Source organism: Homo sapiens, chromosome 4, assembly GCF_000001405.40.
Source record: "Homo sapiens chromosome 4, GRCh38.p14 Primary Assembly".
Taxonomy (NCBI): Eukaryota; Metazoa; Chordata; class Mammalia; order Primates; family Hominidae; genus Homo; species Homo sapiens.
The window spans coordinates 96,731,940-96,746,070 of record NC_000004.12 but is presented as its reverse complement, the minus strand read 5'-3'; the positions used below and the strand labels follow the sequence as shown (position 1 = coordinate 96,746,070).

The following is a 14,131-nucleotide window of genomic DNA, read 5'->3' as shown; positions in this document are numbered from 1 at the left end:
GACATTGTTCATATCTCTATTATAATTAATAGCAAGTTTTTCATAGCAAAATTGTTATCACAGCATTATTAATTTTTGCATTTCCCACTGAACAAGTACACAACATTGCATAGGGCAGACACACAATATCTGTTCTTTGAATGTAATAAAATTTGACTTAATTAATATTTAGGCTTTACTGCAATACATTATATGAAAACTATTTTCAAGAGCCCAAATCGAGTGAAATAAGCTTGTCAATTTGTACGCATTTAATCATAATCTATAGGACTTATATTAAGCATTCTTAGATGTAGTAAAATTGGTCAATGAATGGAATGTGGAAATGAGGAAAGCCATTATATAAATTTATATTTGTGCACATAACTGTACATTTAAAATGAGAACAGAAGATGGAAGCATAACAAAACTAATAATAAGCAAATGGCTTAAATGTTTAGTTCAAGTATCAGACTTATTGTGGATGATTATAGATGATGATGGAATCTTTTTGTAGATTCCAAACATGTTATTCTCCTCTAGAACCTCTCATATAGTCATAGACTTTTTGAATAGAGAAATAAAAAATGATACATGTCTTCTGATTTCGCTCTTATACTTTTATCACTATAATAAGATGGGAAAGTTGCTGTTTTATTTAGACTCTCACAAGAGGAATTATATCAGATTTTTAAAAGAAATGATGAGAAATTAGGGATGTGTACTATGTGTTACTAGCTGTGTTTAATTTGCATCATAGAAATATCACTAACTATTCTGACATAGAGATTTGAAAACCAAATTTTAGAAAAAAGTAATAGCAAAAATATTATTGTTCAATTCAAGGATAAATAAAAAATTCAATCTTATTTAAAGAAATGTACTAAGTAAATAATGTAGGTGGTTTGTAATGGAGCAAAAACCATGAAAATGGTTTGAATGAAATTTGTATAATTCAAAATTATATAAAATGTCTCTTGCTTTGTAGCAGCACTTTATTGTAGTTTTAGTCTTGAGTATTGTTTTTGTTTTATTTTCTGATCTTTAAGTTTATTTTCAATGGAAGGTTAGAGAAGTCTACTTGTAATCAGTTAACAGACATCCATTTTAAACCATTAACCACAAGCTAAGCAGGAAAAGGAACAGATATTTTAAAAATTATAATTTTGTTAAAATTTTAACATGACAAGGCATGACACACCACATTTTATCTTGAAGTTTTCAGCTTCAGCACACAGTCACTATACCATGCAATTGCATGCCAAGATTTTTTTCTGATCCTGAAAGCAAATCTTACCAGATAAAGTAATATTTTACTTTCAGGTTCCCAGCTATGTAGAAAAAATTGTGGGTTCAAAAGAACAAAGTAACCAATTTTTCAACTGTTTTTCATTTATTTCAGGAGACATCTGTTGAGTACTTATGTTAGTCATTGTGGATGCAAAGTCAAATGAGATGGGTGTATTCAAAGAGCTGAATTTAGTAGAGAGCTATCAGCAAATAGCTTAATTTTGCCCCCCACAATTGTTTTCAATTGTTTCATCTGTTCTTAGTTCCTGAGCTTTATCATTTATCTTGGATACTGAATGTATCAGCAACTAACAAGTTCCTTCTGAGCTAAATCACATTTTTTTTTCTGACATACAATTTGAAACAGCTTCTCTTTCCTCATCCAAGGCCTAACCCAGACTCAGTTTTCTACCAAGAGAATGGGAATCATCACTGGATTATTTACTTGCTTCCTTTACCTTAATCTGTAATTGTAAGCAGCTGTTTTGATTTCCCCATGATCAGATGGATGAAGAGTGAATCAAAAAGAAAAAAAGGAGGAGGAGAACAAAGAGGGAGGGAATAAAGGAAGGAAGGAGGGAAGGGAAGGAGGGAGGGAGGCAAAGGAAAGGAAAAAAAGAGACAAAGTCTTTATTAATGGCTGCTGTTGTAATTGAGCATCGGAGCCCTTTGGGTGCCTTTGGGTTAAGGTTTACCCTTTGGGTTAAGGTTTGCCTGGACCTCTCAGGCATCATCCTCTGGCAAGGCCCTTTAAGGAAGGCCCCACCTCCATCGCTCTTGCAGTCTAATCTGGCACACAAGGAAAGCTTCCCATCTTTAAACACCCCAGCTTAGAGCAAAGACTGCTCCACCTGTGACCCTCTTGACTCAGAAACCACAGCTTCTTGATTCTAGAGTTTTGCTCCAGAGTCAAGCACCAAACTATGTGTGTGCCAGATCCCAGGGACACAGTTCACATGCTCTCCACAACAATTAAATAAAACGATGTGATCTAGATGTGAGCAGAGAATTAAATGTGCTACACATACTGTCCAAACGTGTCCGGAATTGGTGGATTCTTTGTCTCACTGACTTCAAGAACGAAGCTGTGGACCCTCGCAGTGAGTGTTACAGTTCTTAAAGGTGGCGTGTCCAGAGTTTTTTCCTCCTGATGTTCGGACATGTTCGGAGCTTGTTCGGACATGTTCGGAGTTTATTCCTTCTGGTGAGTTCATGGTCTCGCTGGCTTCAGGAGCAAAGCTGCAGACCTTCACGGTGTTACAGCTCTTAAGGCAGCGTGTCTAGAGTTGTTCATTCCTCCCGTCCAGAATTGTTCATTCCTCCTGGTGGGTTTGTGGTCTCACTGGCCTCAGGAGTGAAGCTGCAGACCTTCCTGAAGAGTATTACAGCTCATAAAGGCAGTGCGGACCCAAAGAGTGAGCAGCAGCAAGATTTATTGCAACGAGAGAAAGAACACTTCCATAGTGTGGAAGGGGACCCGAGCAAGTTGGGACTGCTGGCTCCGCAGCCTGTTTTTAATTCCTTATCTGGCCCCACCCACATCCTGCTGATTGGTCCATTTTACAGAGAGCTGATTGGTCCGTTTTGACAGGGTGCTGATTGGTGCGTTTACAATCCCTGAGCTAGACACAAAAGTTCTCCAAGTCTCCACTAGATTAGCTAGATACAGAGTGCTGATTGGTGCATTTACAAACCTTGAGCTAAACTCAGAGTGCTGATTGGCATGTTTACAAATCTTGAGCTAGACACAGAGTGCTGATTGGTGTGTATACAATCCTCCAGCTAGACATAAAAGTTCTCCAAGTCCCCACTAGACTCAGGAGCCCAGCTGGCTTCACCTAGTGGATCCCGCACTGGAGCCGCAGGCGGGGCTGCCTGCCAGTCCCATGCAGTGCGCCTGCACTCTTCAGCCCTTGGGAGGTCAATGGGACTGGGCGCCACGGAGCAGGGGACGGCGCTCATCGGGGAAGCTCTGGCTGCATGCAGAAGCCCATGGCGTAAGGGAGGCTCAGGCAAGGCAGGCTGCAGGTCCCGAGCCCTGCCCCGCAGGGAGGCAGCTGAGACCCGGAGAGAATTTGAGCGCAGCACCAGTGGGCTGGCACTGCTGGGGGACCTGGTGCACCCTCCACAGCTGCTGGCCTGGGTGCTAAGCCCCTCACTGCCCAGGGCCAGCAATGCCAGCTGGCCGCTCCAAGTGTGGAGCCCGCCAAGCCCATGCCCACCCGGAACTCGCACTGGTCTGCCAGAGGGAGCCAGCTCTGGCCTCGGCCAGCCCAGAGAGGGGCTCCCACAGTGCAGCAGCAGGCTGAAGGGCTCCTCAAACGCGGCCAGTGTGGGCACCGAGGGCGAGGAGGCAACAAGAGTGAGCGAGGGCTGCCAGCACAGTGTCACCTCTCACAAACATAAATAATCATTGTCTGAGTAGTGAAAATATAGATTTACTTTTCTTCTGTTTGCATAACTAATTGTTGTAAAGTGACAAATTTAACTGAGAACCTACTTTTATTTTTAAATTAGTAATTTTAGTTTCTTTTAAAAGAAATTTAAATTTATATTAGAGGTATCAAAATATTTATAATAAACAATTACACTACTTACCAATTATTAGCTTTTTAATTCTAGTTATAACAATTGTAATTTAGGGTGTAATTTATTTTTATCCCAATTACTTTAATTCCCCACCTCCTCCCCAAAATTTTCCAAATGATAAGCCTCCCTTAGTCCCATATGAAGTATGGCTTACATGATTTTTCTTAAGTTTTTTACATAGAAACTTTCATTTCCATCTTGAAGCCATTTGATGAAAGTATAGGAGGTTGCTGGCACATGGGATTTTTTTTAAAAAAGGAATAAAAACTGTAATGTGCCTATAAGTGAATTATAAGGGAAGGCATTTAAACAATTCACATTCAAGAATAAACTGGTTCAAATTTTCAAAATGTTTGCTACTTTTTCTGAAAGCATTAATTATAGTTTGTTCTTCTATACGAGACATCTTTAAGAAAGTAACAGTATTTGTAAGTGCAAAATATATTATATCTGTTAGGTGGCTTTCTAGATAATTAGAAAGTTCCTTATTTTAAAATGCAGAAGTTCCAGTAACTATATTAGCAGTATCTCAAAGATATAAATCAGAATAATGCCAAAAGTAGAAGTACTCATTAATAAATTATTAAAAATATTTCACTTTCAGAAAGAGACGTTCTACTCCAAAGAAGAAGGGGAAAAATTAAAAAGATACAATTAATACATTGTATGTTTTTAAAGATAAGCTCACTTTTTTCTTCAGAAAGGACATCTTTATGTTTTAGTACTCTGAATTACTCTGTTCAAAAAGAACTTCCATTTAAGTCATTATTTAAGTAGAGGTCACGTGCAAAAGAGATCTTCCTCTGTAGCAAGTTTTCATTTCAAGACATAGGCTGATGACAAAGTAAGTTTTAAAGGCATTTTAGTGTAATAAATGTTGATATCCACCAACATTGATAGGCACTAACAAATTTTTGTCCCTGGGCCTAAAAGTTACTACAGTCCTGAGGTAAGATCTAATAAGTTTCTTTCATATAGTTAGACTTATTCATACTGTCATAAAATTCCCTCCTGCCCAAAAACATTTTAGTGGCTCTTCCAAAGCTGCCCTATTTTATGAATGGTTTTTCCAGTCATAAAGCAGGCTGTCCTTTACATATTGAATTAGTTTGGCACCTCTGTCATAGATCAATTGCCCATATATTTGTGAACGAAGTTACTCTATTCTGTTCCACTGATTGTTATGTCTATCCTTATTCTTAAATTTTTTTAGTTATGGTAGCTTTATACTAAAATAATAATGTAGAGTAACTCATCTTTGTTTTTGAAAATGTAGTTGTTTTGGCTACATTTCTGGGCCATTTGTTTTTCCATATAAATGTAAGGATTTATATGAAAATCTTGTCCATTTCTATTAAGAAACTCATAGAAATTTCAGTTGAGATTGTATAAAATCCATAAATCATTTTCAAAAGAATTGATAATATTGAGTCTTTCCAACTATGAACAACATTACATACTGCTAAATTTTGTGAGATCTTCTTTAATTTCTTTCAGCAACGTTTTTAGTTTTTTGTACATTTGTTGTTATATGTATCCCTATATATTTAGTGTTAAATTTTTTACTTTAAATTTAAATTTTAAATTAATTTTAATTTTGTTTATGCCCAGTACTCATGTTGTTTTATACAAAGACAGTAAAGACAGCTTTATTTCTTGCTTTTCAAAACATATATATATATTTAATCCTTAATGCACAGGCTAGGACCTCTAGTGACTTCCTGATAGCAATGACGTTAATGGGTATCTTGACTTGCTCCCAAACTTAAGGGGAAAGAATTCGATCTTTCACCAGTAATAATCATCACTTTAAGATTTTCAGAGGTATTTCAGCGAATTATCTTTTCTGTTTCTAATTTGCTGAGAATTTTTATTATGAATGAGCTGCCCTTGAATTTTATCAAATGTTATTTTCACATTATCAAGATGATCTTGTGTTTCTTATTTTCTTAATTATTTTAAGGGATTTTATTTCAAATTTAATATTTTCATGTATTTGTGGATTCTCTTTGCTAAAAATGTTAAAGGTGAGCCAATTTAGATAATTTATGAGTTCCGAGATACATATTTATTTCATCTAAGTTGTCAAATTTATTGGCATTAATTCATTTATAACATTTTCTTATTAAGCTGTAGACTCCAGAGTGTTTCTCTTCTTTTATTCTTAATATTAATAATGTGTCTTCACACTGTTTTTCTTTATTAATGAATCTGGGGGTCTATTATCTTTATTAATTTTTAAAATTATTATCTTATGGTTTCTTTGCTTTTACTTTCTTCTTTGTGCATCATCAATGTCACTGAATGTTGTTTGTATAGTTATTCCCTTCCTTTCATTTAGTTTGGATTTAATTTGCTTTGCTTGTCAAACTTCCTAAGAGATCAGTAGTCATCAAATTGTCACCTGTAGGAAAAATTCATCCCACCAACTATTTTTGTAGTGCATGAAGGCTGAGTGGTTTTTACATTTTTAAATATTTGAAAAATAAAATGATATTTTGTGTAAATAAAAATTACATGTAATTCAAATTACAGTCTTCATAACTTTTTAAGAATAAAACCCTACTCATTTATTTAAGCATTGTTTATGGTTGTTTTCAAACTACAATGGCAGAGCTGAGTAGTAATGACTATAGACTAGTAAGGCTAAATTATTGCTCATCTGGCCCTTTACAGAAAATTTTGCAAACCCCTGGCTTAAATGATTGATTTAAATTTGTGTTGGTGTGCTTCTAATTTAAACATTTAAAGCTGTAACTTTCTCTTTTCACACTGTTTAATTTACATCACAAAAATTTTAAAATGCTGCTTTTTCATTTTATTTAATTCAAAATACTTTCTAATTTCTCTCTTGATTGACCTGTGGGATATTTAGGAATGCTTTCTTTGGCTTTCAAGTGTTTGAGACTTTTCCAGATACCTTCCTGTTGTTGGTTTCTGATTATTTATACTGTGGTTAGAGAACATACTTTGTATTTCTGATTTCAATTCACTTAAATTTGATGAAATTTATTTTATGGCATATTATCTGGCCTATTTTGTTAAACATTCCTTACTTTAAAATTGTGTGTATTCTGCTACTGTAGGCTGAAATGTTCTATAAATGTAAATTAGGTATATTTGCTTGATATTATTAATTTTTTCCTATGTTCTTACTGATTATATATTTATCACTTATTCAGAGGGGGTGTAGAAAATTCCAACCATGGTTCTGATTTTGCCTATTTCCCTCTTCATTACTATTAGTTATTGCTTCATGTATATTTCAGCCATTATTAAATGCATAAATGTGAAGTAGTGTTTTGCCTTCTTGATTAATTTGCTTCCTTGTCATTATGAAATTGCTATGTTTATCTCTAGTAATATAGCTTATTTTATAGTAATTTTTATTAATTTTTACTACAGTCTTTCCAGCTTTTTTATGCTCAGTGTCTTTAGGGTTTATATTTTTTCATTATCTAACTTATTGATATGATTTGGCTCTGTGTCACCACCCAAATCTCATGTTGTAGCTCCCATGTGTTGTGGGAGGGATCCAGTGGGAGATGATTGAATTATGACAGCAGGTCTTTCCTGTGCTATTCTCATAATAGTGAATGGATCTCATGAGATCCAATGGTTTTAAAAACAGGAGTTGTCCTGCACAAGCTCTGTTTGCCTACCGCCATTCACTTAAGATGTGACTTGCTCCTCCTTGCCTTCTGCCATGATTGTGAGGCCTCCCTAGCTATGTGGAATTGTAACTTTAATAAACCTCTTCCTTTTGTAAATTGTCCAGTCTTGGGGATGACTTTATCAGCAGCATGAAAACAGACTAATATACTTATCAGTCTATGTATATTTAAAGTGTGCTCTCTATATCTAATCTTATAATCTCTGCCTTTTTATTGGCCTGTCTAGATGATTTACCTTTAATGTAAATATCAATATAATAAAGTTTATAACAATCATCTTGTTATTTGTTTATATATGTTGTACCTGTTTAGTTCTTAATCCCTTTTTCCAATTGAGTTTTTTTCACCTTGAGTTTTTTTTAATTTCTCCATTATTGGTAATTAAATTCTTTTGGTTTTACATGGTTGTTTTAACATCTAAAACGTATATCTTTATTTATGATAGTCTACCTTGAAAAAATATACCCCTTATATATAAGTCACACTTAAAAAATAAGTCTTTCATTTGTTGTAATCCTTTATACCATTGTTTCCACATAATATATTTTTACACATGCCATGAACCTGATAGTGCATTGCTTTTACTTTTGATTAAAAAATTTAATTATCTTTTAAATAAAAATTAGAAATGCTATTTTATATTTATACCTGCATATTCATAATTTCTGGTATATTTTATTATTTTGAGAGGATCCAAGATTTTGTGTGGTATATTTTTTCTGACTGAAGAAATTTTTCTTAATTTTTTTTTTAGTTTTGGTCAACTGATGATGAATTCTTTTTTCTTCTGGAAAATTTTAAATTCTACTTTTATTTTGAAACAATATTTTTGCTGAGTTTAGAATTATGGATTGACAGATTTTCTTGTTTCATTATTTTAAAATGTTTTCCAATATCTTTGAACTTTCATTATTTATTCTGAGTTCTAGATGCTCTTATCTTCATTTTTCTTTATATGTGTCATGTTGATTTTCAGAAATGTAGTTATGTCTTGATATGTGTGTGTGTGTGCTTCCTCTTTGTAGTTTATTGAGATTTTTGGATTCTTATAATATAATTGTCATCAATTTGGATATTCTTGAGGCATCATTTTTTAACAATTTTTGATATTACTCTTTATTCTAGGATTTTAATGTTATGCATTTTTACACTGTTTTAAAGTATTCTAAAAGTGTTGAGTTTTAATTTTTTTCAATCTGTTTCTCTTTTCTTCACTGTAAAAATTGTATGCTATGCTTTAAACTTCATTGATTTTTTTTGTATATCTACCCCACTATTAGTCTCATCCAATAAAACTGGATGACAATAAAATTGGATAGACATCCAATAAGACTATTTTATACAGTCTATAATTTCTAGAGTTTTTATTTGGGTCTTTTTTATATATATACCATTTCCATCCTATTATGTTTCTATTTTGTTTTAAATATTTGTATAGAATTACAATAGCTCTTTATCAATTTTTGTCTTCTATTTAAGTTATGTTTATAATTCCCAGGTCTGTTTTTGTTAAGTAAGTTTAATCTAGATTTTGGGTCATAATTTATGGCTGTTTGGCTTGTTTAGTAATTTAGATTAGATGTTGAGCATTGTAATTTTGTTGTTTTTCTTTAAATAATTTTGTTTTTAAAATATTTTTGGTCTAAAATTAATTTTTAAATTATTTGCTTTGTTTGCTTTTGAGCTTTGCCAAGGCGTGTGTAGAACAGCATTCATTCTAAAGAAAGCCCAGATACCTTGCTAAGACATGGCTTCTTTTACATCTAGACTGAATGCTATGGGTAATTACTGAAGAGTGCCTCTGTGGTGACTCAGAGCTTAAACATCTGCTTGTCCTTTGTGAGCCTTTAGAGTTGCTATGCGTACAAATTCCTTGTCTTTCTTTGCCCTTCCCTTTAGAATTTTACTCCTTTCATGTGCAGCCTAGTACTCAGCAAAGAACCAAGAATCCCTAAATTCATTTCCAGAATACTTTTTCAACAGCTCCCTCTTCTCTAGAACTCTAGTTTATACTTTTAGCTGACTCAAACTTCCAAAAATTGAATTCTCATTTCCTCAGTTCAGTCTTGCCTAGGGTGTTTAGATTTATCCTTTTACATTGATAATCTGGAAATTGTCTCCAGGCTATGAAGTGGGGGGATTTTTTTCTCACATGATTTATGCACCATTTTTCAAGGATCAAACCTACACTATTTGTTGTCTGTTGTCTGGAAATAGTTTCATGTGTTTTGTGCAGTTTCTGAATATTTACGGTGGGAGGTTCTGTCTCTGTTCCTCCTTCATGGCCCGTAACAGAAATTTGTTATGTAAAATTGGTACAAAAACAAATCTTAAAATCTAAATTAAAGACATGTATTAGTGGTAAAATTTGTGTGGTCTTTATCTTAACAATAATGAGAAGAGTTGAGATAATAGGAGAACACGGGTTTTACAATTTCATGGACCTGTATTTGAATTGCAGTTGTGTTTCAAAGAACAAGTTACTTAACCTTTTCATCTTTCAATTTCTTAAAATACAAAATATTATAAATCCTACCTCATACAATTGTTGTGAGAATTTATTGAGGTATTAGGCTCACATCTTAACATGTCATTAGCTGCAGATTTGATGCATAAAAGAAAAAGGTACTATCTAAAATCTTTATGCTTATATTTGTTTTAGTTGCAATGTGTGCAATTTAACTCATTTAAATAAAAAGTCATTCTCAAGTATAAATGAAAAAAAAATTAGGCTGAACATGGTGGCTCACACCTGTAATCCCAGCACTTTGGGAAGCTGGGGCAGGAGGATTGCTTGAGGTCAGGAGTTCAAGACCAGCCTGGCTAAAATGACAAAAACCTATCTCCATGAAAAATACAAAAATTAGCTGGGCATGGTGATGCACACCTGTAGTCCCAGCTACTTGGGAGGTTAGGCACAAGAATCATTTGAACCTGGGGGGTGGAGTTTGCAGTGAGCCAAGATCATGGCACTGCACTCCAGCATGGGTGATAGAGTGAGACCCTGTCTCAACAATGAATAAATAAATAAATGAAAAAAATTTGATTTTTTTATGAGTTTTACTTACTATGTCCTCTGTGAGAATCAATAATAAATCAAGCACAAATCCCCAAGCATGGTTTGTTAGTTACAAAGTAGAATGCTTTCATTTTCTTTTAGTTACATATGTACTGATATGGTTTAGCTCCAAGGATGGTTTGTTAGTTACAAAGAAGAATGCTTTTATTTTCTACTAGTTGCATGTGTACTGATATGGTTTAGCTCTGTCCCCACCAGAATCTCATCTTGAATTGTAGCTCCCATAATTCCCATTAGTCCTAGGAGGAATCCACTGTGAGGTAATTGAAACATGGGGGTGGGTGTTTCCCATGCTGTTCTCATGATAAGTCTCACAAGATCTGATGGTTTTATAAAGAGGAGTTCCTCTACACATGCTCTCTTGCCTGCCACCACATAAGATAGGACTTTGGTTCTCCTTGCATTCTGCCATGATTGTGAGGCCTCCCCAGCCATGTGGAACTATGAGTCAATTAAACCTCTTTCCTTTATCAAGTACCCACTCTCAAGTATGCCTTTATTAATGGCATGATAACAGACTAATATATGTACTTAAGGTCCATTTTTATCACTGTATATATTATCTAAGTGGAAAGCTATTTTTATCCTACATGCTGTAATTTCCTTCACAAAAGACTGTCATGCTTTTACAATTATAGCATTTTTTGTTTACTTAATCTCTTACAGGCTCTGCCTTTTCAAGCATGTTTTGATGAAAATGACAAAGGTGATCAGGAAAAAAAGTATAATAGGAAAAATAAAATATAATCTTAAAAATATTTTTCTCCAATTTGATTGCCTATATTTGTGCCTTTACCCTCTTTTCCCTCCATTATGGAGGAGAAGAGTTGTAGGACATGATGTGTATTAGTTCACTTTCACACTGCTATAAAGAATTATCTGAAACTGGGTAATTTATGAAGAAAACAGGTTTAATTGACTCACAGTTCTGCAGGTTATACAAGAGGCATGACTGGGAGACCTCAGGAAACTTACAATTATGGTGGAAGGTGAAAGGGAAGCAAGCATGTCTTTACCTTGGTGGAGCCGAAGAGAGAGAGAGAGAAGGGGGATGTGCCACACACTTTTAAACAATTAGATCTCATGAGAACTGACTCACTATCATGAGTACAGCCTGATAATCTGCCCCCCTCCCCCAATTACCTCCCACCAGGCCCCTCCCTGACCCTTAGGAGATTACAATTAGTTATGAGATTTGGATGGGGACACAGAGCCAAATCATATCATTCCACCCCTGGTCCCTCCCAAATCTCATGTCCTTCTCACATTTCAAAACCAATCATATCTTTCCAACAGTCTCCCAAAGTCTTAACTCATTCCAGCATTAACTCAAAAGTCCAAGTCCAAAGTCTTATCTGAGACAAGATAAGTCACTTCCATCTATGAGCCTGTAAAATTCAAAAGCAAGTTTGTTACTTCCAAGATACAATGGGGGTACAGGCATTGGGTAAATTATCCCATTCCAAAGGGAGAAACTGGTGAAAACAAAGGGATATAGGCCCCATGCCAGTCTGAAACACAGCAGGATAGTCATTAAATCTTGAAGTTCCCAAATAATCTCCTCTGACTCCATGTCTCATATCCAAAGCATGCTAATGCAAGAGGTGGGCTCCCATGGCCGTGGGCAGCTGAGCCTCTGTGGCTTTGCAGGGTACAACCCTCATGGCTGCTTTCACAGGCTAGTGTTGAGTGCCTGCAGCTTCCCCAGGTGCACAGTACAAGCTGGTCAGTGGATCTACCATTCTGGGCTCTGGAGGACAGTGGTTGACTTCTCACTGCTCCACTAGGCAATGCCCCAGTGGGGACTGTGTAGGGATTTCAACACCACTTTTCCCCTCCTCACTGCCTTAGTAGAGGTTTTTCATGAGGGCTCTGCCCCTTCAGCAGACCTCTGCCTGGACATCCAGGCATTTCCATACATCCTCTCACATCTAGATGGAGGCTCTCAAACTCTTGCCTTCTGTGTATCTGCAGACCCAACACCATATGGAAGCTGCCAAGGCTTGGGGGTTGCACCTCTGAGGCAATGGCCAATCTGTATGTTGGTCCCTTTTAGCCACGGTTAAAGCTGGAGTGACTGGGACACGAGGAACCAAGTCCCGAGGCTTCACAGAGCAGCAGGGCCCTGGGCCCAGCCCACAAAACCATATTTCACCCCTAGGCCTCCAGGCCTGTGATGGGAGGAGTTGCTGTGAAGGTCTCTGACATGGCTTGGAGACATTTTCCCTATTGTCTTGGCTATTAACATTCGGCTTCTCATTACTTATGCAAATTTTTGCAGCTGGCTTGAGTTCCTCCCCAGAAAATAGTTTTTTTTTTTGTTTTTTTTTTTCCTATCACATGGTCAGGCTTCACATTTTCCATACTTTACACTCTGCTTCCCCTTTAAACATAAGTTCCAGTTTCCAACCATCTTGTTGTGGGCACATACTGTACGTTTTCAAGAAAAACCAAGTCACATCTTGAATGTTTTGCTGCTTAGAAGTTTCTTCTACCAGATACCATAAATCCTCTCTCTCAAGTTCAAAGTTCCACAGATCTCTAGAGCAGGGGAACAATGCCACCAGTCTCTTTGCTAAAACATAGCAAGAATGACCTTTTCTCCAGTTCCTAATAAGTCCCTTATCTCCATCTGAGACCTTCTCAGCCTTCATTGTCCAAATCACTATTAGCATTTAGTCAAAACCATTCAACAACTCTCTAGGAAGTTCTAAACTTTCCCACATCTTCCTGTCTTCTTTTGAACCCTCCAAACTGTTCCAACCTCTGCTTGTTACCCAGTTCCAAAGTTGCTTCTACATTTTCATGTTATCTTTATGGCAGTGGCCCATTCTGTGTGAGTCCGTTCTGACTCTTCTATAAAGAACTACCTGAGACTGCATAATTTATGAAAGAAAAGATGTTTAATTGACTCACAATACTTCAAGCTGTACAGTAAGCATGGCTGTGAGGCCTCAGAAACTTACAATCATGGTGGAAGTGAAGGGGAAGCAAGCATGTCTTTGCTATGGTGGAGCAGGAGAGAGAAAAAATGGGGACATGCAACATCTAAATGATCTTGTGAGAACTCACTCACTATCACAAGAACAGCAAGGGGGAAATCTGTCCTCATTATCCAATCACCTCCCACCAGACCCCTCCCCTGACACATGGGGATTAAAATTTGACATGAGATTTGGATGGGGACCCAGGGTCAAACCATAACTTTTGGTTTCAAAAAGACCATAGTAAGATGTTTGTGATAAAGGAAAATCAGAAAACCTAATCAGAAACCTTTGGTAAATGAAGAATGAGTATCATTCTTTAAGCAAGCCATTTACTGCATACCAGGTGCCATGTGTGTTATAGGTTCATGGGATATACCATTGAAAAACAAATTTCTACCTTTGTGAGATTGATTATTAAAGGTAACATTTCCATAGTACTTACTATGTGCTAAGCACTTTTGTATATATTAACTAATTTAAACTTTATAACAGCTCTACGAGGTAGGTAGTGTTATTATTCACATGGATCCTGA

General features: G+C 35.9%; 1 long non-coding RNA gene across 1 annotated transcript in view, besides 2 other annotated features; it reads right to left on the bottom strand.

Annotated features, from left to right (window-relative positions):
• LINC02267 (long intergenic non-protein coding RNA 2267) overlaps positions 1–14,131 on the bottom strand; it is a 507,713-nt gene that overhangs the window by 72,345 nt on the left and 421,237 nt on the right. The gene's annotated exons all lie outside the window — the stretch shown is intronic.
• Positions 1,582–2,781: an enhancer, noted in NCBI's record as "MED14-independent group 3 enhancer chr4:97664441-97665640 (GRCh37/hg19 assembly coordinates)". NCBI's record gives its function as "activates an origin of replication core promoter dependent on BRD2, BRD4, P300/CBP and CDK7 cofactors, and independent of MED14, by STARR-seq in HCT116 cells {active_cell/tissue: HCT116}" and the evidence as "EXISTENCE:reporter gene assay evidence [ECO:0000049][PMID:35650434]".
• Positions 9,094–9,763: an enhancer, noted in NCBI's record as "OCT4-NANOG hESC enhancer chr4:97657459-97658128 (GRCh37/hg19 assembly coordinates)". NCBI's record gives its function as "activates a minimal SCP1, AML or CMV promoter by ChIP-STARR-seq in naive and primed H9 embryonic stem cells {active_cell/tissue: H9 hESC(naive and primed)}" and the evidence as "EXISTENCE:reporter gene assay evidence [ECO:0000049][PMID:30033119]".